The sequence below is a fragment of the Homo sapiens genome, chromosome 6, assembly GCF_000001405.40.
Source record: "Homo sapiens chromosome 6, GRCh38.p14 Primary Assembly".
NCBI classification, from domain to species: Eukaryota; Metazoa; Chordata; class Mammalia; order Primates; family Hominidae; genus Homo; species Homo sapiens.
In genome coordinates, this window is record NC_000006.12 from 137,684,946 (window position 1) to 137,693,064 (window position 8,119).

An 8,119-nucleotide genomic window follows, 5' to 3' on the forward strand; every position below is an offset into this window, starting at 1 on the left:
CTCTGCCTCCCTTGAGCCACCTGCTTTAGTCTGTCTCTTCCTGTACATAGATTTTTTTTCTACTTCTTTGGTTCATGGGGATAGAATTTTCATGTCATAATTTCAGCTACCTGCAGAGAGTGAACTTCATTTAAAATTTCTTTGTGAGGACAGTTGAAACTGTTAGCTCAGGCTAATCTAAAAGACGCAATTTAGAAACGACTGTCAAAAGAAAAATAACTTAAGATTTTCAGTTCATCACTCAATGTTCATCCTGAAGATTTCTCAAAGACTGCTACCTACCTCCCTGTTTTTCTTCGACTTTTTTTGTAGCAAGGTTTTGAGACATTGCTACGGCAGCGTAACATAGTAGGTGAAGTACCCATTGATAAATTATATTTTATCTGCTTCCATCTGTTAGCAGGTAACTTCTCCACTAAAAGGATATGGTTCTGTAGAACAATGGCATATGCAGACAGTGATCTGTTATTCCACTATTCTCTTAAGCTATCAATCAGATTGATGAGGCAAATTTATGCTTCTAGTCTGTATCTGTGGTTATAACCACGTAACATTTGCTTTAGATTGTTTGTAGGGAAAGTCAAAGTAGGATGGTTTGTTGGAGGTAAAATGGCCTAAGAAATAAATCAAAGCATTTCAATTATGATGTATAAGAAAATTTAGAGTTGGTTTGTACAAACCCATATCCAATCAAGGTCCAAGCATTATATTTAATGGTTAAGCCTTTTAAATCTCTTTGATTACAGAGCAGCTCATCACTCTCCTTCCTCCCATCCCACCCTTATTATACCATGGGTTTATTGAAGATACTAAGTCACTAAAGGTCTTATGGATGGTAGTGACTTGATAAAATAAGTGTTTAATAAGGAATATTGTGGCCAAAGTGATGAGTGCATTGGAAGAAACATAAAACTAAAGATTGGGAGAGTACATGTAGGAAATAATTGCTGTATTCTGGGCAAGCAATGATGGTAATCTGAATTAGGTAATTAGAGCAGGAAATGGAGGGAGGAACTCATCTTAGGTTCAATCCAAGAGATAGTTCCAAACTCCAAAGTGCATTACAGAAGCATTATCTAAGATCCATAGTTATCTAACAAGTGAGAGTAATATTAAATAAGCTTTACTCAAATGTTTGAGCAATATAATTAGGTAGTGATCTCTCCAACCCAAGAAGTGTTGAAGAAAAAAACTGGATGACCAGCCATGGGCAATTATGTAACCTCAAGGCAAGAATCTCTTGTTTCCTCTTCTTCTTCAACAAGTGATTGTCCAACATGTCATTGAAGAGTGAGAGGAAACACAGCTTTGCAAAGCAGTCTATTTTTTGACTGAGCATCTATAATTATAAAAACTATAAGTAGCTCAAAACCTATCTAGTTGGTCCTGGTCTTCTTTCTAAGACTATATAGAAAGAGCTCCATTTCTTGCCATTTTCTCTTCTCCAGGCCAAACGCTTTAAGTTCCTGCAACTGTTTCTAATTTCCCATCCTCGTTCCTTTTTTCTGGCCATGCTCCCAACTGTCACTGTCCTTTTTGGAGTGTGCACCCAGAACTGAACACCCTTTGTGAGGTACAGTCTAACCTGAGTGCAATAGAGAGGCTGTTAACTCTGCTGTTCCAGACCTTTCATTAATGCAGCCAAAAGTTACAGTTAAGGTTTTAGCAGTTCCTTCATGCTCTTGACTCATTTTGAGTAAAAAAAATTCCCAAAGTTATTCTCTTTATATGCTACTGTTTTGACATGTATACATGTGAAGCTCACCTTGAAATCTAACCAGAAAACTTCATGTTAACCATAATACATGTTTCTTTGTTGGATTCAGGTTATTGTTCAAGTTCCTTTTGAACCCTACATCAGACATCCAGCATTGCAGCCACTGTTCTGTTAGTCTTATATTTTCTGGAGCATTGACTAGAAAGCCAGCTCAGTCTATATTCATTAAAACAGAAAGTTTAAATAGGGTCAGACTATGATGGAAAACTCATGCAGATCCCTCTGCTGGATGACATGGCTTCATGAGCAGCACTTCCTTAGATATGGTCCCTTACCAGTTACAAATGAACTTAGTAGATTTATTACATTCTATCCCCAAATATTCTTCTCATGCCCAAGGATACAAAAGACTTAATCTTGTCTGCCTGCAGCCTTACACTGGTCTACCTAAAGAAAACCTCTACAGACAAAGGAGATGAGCCCAGCATGGCTTGTTTACAGTGAATCTAAGCAGATTCCTCATCTGTTCTGGGATACGTGCGTCGAGATTGCCAGACTGTGGTTTGTAGACTTTATCTTCCTCCCCTTTTGAAAATCAAGGTAGTGTATGCCAAATTCTACCTTTTGGAGCCTGTGCCATTCTTCACTGTCACACATTAATGCAGCCTTGTGACCTTTCTGACAAATTCCCAGGAAGCTCATTAGTTTAGACCAAGAGATTTAAACTCAAGGGAGTTGAGTTTTAAGAATTTTTAACAGAGTTGGATCAAACATGGCAGGTCTAAAGATTACTTTCATTGATGAAGGCAATGGAAGCAAACTAGGAATAGAAGAGTATAGTTTTCTCCCTGTCTCCCATTGATGTTACACCACCAGCCCTTGGAGGAGGTCTTTGCCTTCTTCATTCTTTCTTTTTTATAATGGAGTGTTAAATAGCTCAGACGATTTATTCACTACTGTACTGAAAGTGAAAAACAGAGTGGCTGTATGGGTACTCCAAGTATGGTTTCTATTGAATGCATATTGCTGTTGCACCACAGCAAAGTAAAAGAAAAATCACATCAAACCACACTCAGGGACCATCTGTATAACCTTAGCTATTCATGGTATTCTTGGGAATATATTTTTTAAAGTTTTATTTTAGGTTTAGGGGTAAAAGCGCAGGTTTGTTATATAGATAAACTTTTGTCATGGGGGTTTGTTGTACAGATTATTTCATCACCCAGCTATTAAGTGTAGTACACTTTAGTTCTACTTCCTGCTTTGAACATACTCCAAATCCCCTCACTTTTCACTTCAGCACTTTTCACAAGCCTTTGTTCCTACAACTTTAGCATTCCAGGTCCTGGATGTAACCTCACATGCATATTACTCCTTAATTATGAGCTTTTCTACCTTTCCTGTGTGCGTTTCTAAAATCTGAGCTGAATTCCTTGAGAGCCATATGAGCACCTTTGCCGGCCACTTCAGCTTTACTCAGGCTGGGTTATTTGGAGAGATCATTAGTTACCCAAACATTTCAAATGCTCTCTATTTTATAGTTGAAATCATGGACTTACATCTAGCTTTAACTGAACTCTTTCTGAAATGTCTCCCCAGGTCTAGTTTAAATGTCTGACACTCTTCAGAAGACATAGTCTTTTTTACTCAAGATTCTCAAGGAAGCAATGTGGTGATGGAAGAGGCCTGGACTCTTGAGTCAGGGCTTTGCTCTAAACCTGCACCTGCTAAAACTAGCTGAGTGACCTAAGGCCAGTTACTTAATGTCTCTGAGGCTAGGTGGAAATACTGATGCATTCCCTCACACAGTCATTGAGATGAATAAATACAGTGGTATGTTTTAACTGCTGTGGGTGACATCTGATATGTGGTAGGGGCTCAGGAAGTGTTTGTACCCTTCCTCTTTGACTTTCCCTCTTTTCCCTTCAGTTCACCAACCTGCTTTCACTTGTTTTTCATAATTTATACAGGATAAAATCTCCCCTCATGAGTTTTTGCTTCTTTTGGGAGTGTCAGCATCTAGCCAGGTAAGTTAAAAACTTATCAGTCTTTCAGTGTGAATGAATTAAACTCTGTCAGCATATGAAAAATCCCCCATCACTGCCACATCATGCCTCTCTGCTGCTTTTGCAATCTAGGTCAAGACTTCAGTCATATCCTCCATCTGGTCAGATGTTGATCACTATTAACTCTAAAAATTATTTAGAAAATACTTAGAACATTTTCAGCCTTTTACAATTATCTGTTCTTATGTTTAGCTTCTTATTCCAAAACACAGTAATCTTTTACATCCCAAGATGATTTTTCTCATCTTGGAGAGATGAGAAAATATGGAGAGTCCAAAACAGTGTTTTAGCCTCTCCATGATACTTTTCTATTCAGATTCCCTACAGTTGTATGTACTTCTGCAGCTATGTTACCATTCCAAGAAAGTACAATGTAGACTCCAATTTGATGATGGATTCAGAAATAAGTTTTCAAACTCTCAAATCTAAATATGATGGATGTATACATTCTCTGATTCCAAAATAACACTATTTGGTCTGTTTTCACAATTTGAATTCTATTCCTGTTGGAACGCCTGGCTCAAAAGCCAGAGTGCCTTCTCCATCTTGATTCTCTCTTCATTCTCTCCTCTTTGAGTCAATTTGCAGTTTTATTCCAGAATGAACCTCCTGGGTTGTCTGGGAGTATCAACAAAGGCATATTATAACACAATACATTCCTAGTTTTATTTGGCAGCACCAGCCCTGAGACAGGCCTTCATTTGTGATGGTCAGAATGCCTACGAAACAAGGAAATATTTATATGTGCAAAATTTGGAAGGTACAGGGAGGCAAGTTGCATCAGTGGGAGATCAAAGGTCAATGCTGGATGGGATGTTTTGTTCCCAGCCTCCATCGGTTGAACTTAGGTGGGAACAGATCAAAGGCTCATGGGAAATGGGCATGGAACTCCCCACCGTCCGATGCCAAGTGGTGACCAGAACAGATGGGAGCAGAATGATAAGCACAGCATCCCACATCAATGGATACTTATTTGGAAGTAACTGAAGTGGAAAGGTCAGGATAAAATGTCAGCATCTCTGTGTGGGTGAAAATATGTCTGAGAAACTAACTTCGCTCCAAGAAATATGAAGGCAAAGGGGAATGCCTTGGAATCAAAGAGAAGACACTTTCAGTGCCTTTATCCCAGCTGAATGTACTCTTAGACTCCCTAAACCTGATTAAAGTTTTCTCTTACCCTTAGTATGCAATCCTTGCTTTACCCTTGTTGCTATTTGGTCAAAAAGTTGGAGAAGTTGCTGCTAGTGAAATGTTTATGGAAGAAAATGTTTTGGTAATGAAAATAACAGGAAACAATTTTCCCCTCTTGATATTTTTAGGATACTTAGAAAAACTTCAGGAAAGTCATTTTGAGCTGATCACTAGATGTTCATTATTTCCTCCTCATTTAGTTTGATGTTACTTATGAATTCACTAACATTTATTGAGCATTTGCATTGAGTCAGGTTCAAGAGAGGTTTATGGTCAGTCATATACACCTCAGGGGCACTTAACTGGGAAGGTTAGTGATTTATGGAAGCAATGACTCAGGAAAGCAAAGTCTAAGATAAATTGATAGTATTAACACAAATATTAATATCAACACAGGAGTGCCCTAAAGAGCAGAAGGGAGTGGGAGGTTGGATGAAGACTAGAAAGCTGCACAGCTTCACAGCTCTAGGCCTTATTCTCCATTGTATAGGAACCCTTATAGTTTCTGTTTGCTATGCTGTGCCCTTTGAAAGAAAACTGCAAACTTCCCTAATCATGATATGGTGCACCCACGTTTTCCAACATTAGCAATGGAGTAAGAATCCTGTGTCCAGAGGGGCAGATGGATCTTGCGCCTCTGACTTGCTCCACTTTCTTAGGAATTGTATTTTTTTTTTTCTCACTGTTGCCACCATGATGCCTCAGGCAGCACTGCTCCTTTACATCTTTGTCTACATGGAAAACAGGACCTAATGCCTTAATGCCCTCTTAGAACAGTGCTTACAGAAGTAATGAAAGCTAGAAATGGCATAAATATAAATAATGTGATTTACAAGATGCATTTACCATCTAGGACTCCAGGCCTCTTCCCATCTCATCTTGTGGTTTTTTTCCCATGAGCCTGACATTATCTCACCTCCCAGATCCCATGTTTCCTACACTTATACCCAAGGGATCATACCCCAGGAAGAAATACAAGTTCAACTTTTCCGCACAAGGTCATCAAGGGTGTGGTTACTTTTATGTGTCAACTTGACTGGGGATGCCCAGATAGCTAGTAAAACATTATTTTGGGGTGTGTCTGTGAGGGTGTTTTCAGAAGAGATCAGCATTTTAATCAGTAGACTAAATAAAGAAGATCCATCCTCACCAGTGTAGGCATTCATTATCCAATCCATTAGGAGCCCAAGTAAAACAAAAAAAGTGGAGGAAGGGAGAATATGTTCTCTGTTTCCCCTGAGCCATCATCTTCTCCTGCTCTTGGACATTGAAGCTGCTGGTTCTCAGGCCTTCAGACTTGAACTAAATAATACCACTGGCTTTCCTGATTCTCTAGTTTGCAGACAGCAGATTGTGGGACTTCTCAGCTTCCTTAATGTTGTGATCCAATTCTCATAATAAATCCTATTGGTTCTGTTTCTCTACAGAACCCTAAGTCCCTCAATCGATTCCCAGGCTTGAGCCAGTTTAAAGATCCAGAATGCTTGAGTGAAGGCGAGGTAGGGTCCCCTCAAGGAAGAACCCCAGTACACTACCAAAAATGTATAGTATTAATCATCCTCCCAGTCTTCCCCAAAGAGACCTATGGTTTTTTGTTGTTGTTGGTTTTTGTTTTGTTTTTGTTTTTTGAGATGGAGTCTCACTCTGTCGCCAGGCTGGAGTGCAGTGGTGTGATCTCGGCTCATGGCAACCTCTGCCTCCTGAGTTCAAGCTATTCTCCCGCCTCAGCCTCCCAAGTAGCTGGGACTACAGGTGTGTGCCACCACACCTAGCTAATTTTTGTATTTTTAGTAGAGATGAGGAAGACCTATGGATTTTTACCAGTATAAATGTGCACCAGAGAAAGGAAAATAATCAGACATTTTAGGGACTACAGAACACTGGGAGCAAGGTCCTGCCATCATCCACAGATAACTACTCTCCTTTTAAGAGACAGCTTTTGGCCTGCTCCTGGGCCTTGTGCAAATGGAATGCAGAACTACAGCCTCTCTCTATGGTATCCCTAAAAGACAGTGGTGAAGGGAAATCCTCCCAGTGGGCAGAACTTCAGGCAGTACACCTGGTTGTGACTTTGCAGGAGAAGAAGAAATGGCCATATGTGAGATTACATACTAATTCATGGGCCGTAACAGATGGTTTGGTTGGAGGATCAGGGACTTAGAAGAAACATGATTGGAAAATTGGTGACAAATGAAATTTGGAGATGTATATACATAGATTACTTTGAATGTGCAAAAAATATAAAAATATTTGTGTCCCATACAAATGCTCACCAAAGGGTGACCTCAGCTGGGGAGGATTTTAATAATTACATAGCTAGGATGACTGTTCTGTGGATATCAGTCAGCCCTATTGCCAGCCACCTCATGCTTGCCCAATGGGCGCATGAATAAAGTGGCCCCGGTGGCAGGGATGGAGATTATGCATGGGTTCAGCAACATCAGCTTCCACTCACCAAGGCAAACCAGGCTACGGCCACTGCTGAGAGCCCAATATACCAGCAACAGAGATTGACACTGATCCCCTGCTATGGCACCATTCCCTGGGGAGATCAGCCAGCTACCTGGTTGCAGGTTGACTAGATTGGACAGCTCCTATCGTGGAAGGGACAATGTTTTGACCTTACTTATTCTGGATATGAATTTGCCTTCCTTACATGCAATGCTTCTGCCAAAACTACCATTCATGGACTCACAGAATGCTTTATCCTCTGTCATAGTATTCCACACAGCATTGCTTCTCACCAATAACTCACTTCACAGCTAAAGAAGTGCAGCAATGGGCCCATGCTCATGGAATTCACTAATCCTACCATATCCTTCATCATCCTGAACAGCAGCCTCGACAGGAAGATAAAATGACTTTTTAAATTCTCAGTTACAGCACCAGCTAGGTGGCAATACCTTGCAGGCTGGGGCACAGTTCTCTAGAAGGCTGTATATGCTCTAAATCAGCATCCAATATATGGTACTGTTTCTTCCATAGCCAGGATTCACAGGTCCAGGATTAAAGGGGTGGAAATGGGAGTGGCACTACTTACCATTACCCCCAGTGACACACTAGTAAAATTTGTGCTTCCTGTTCCCATGACTTCATGCTCTGCTGGCCAAGAGGTCTTAGTTCCAGTGGGAGGAATATTACCACC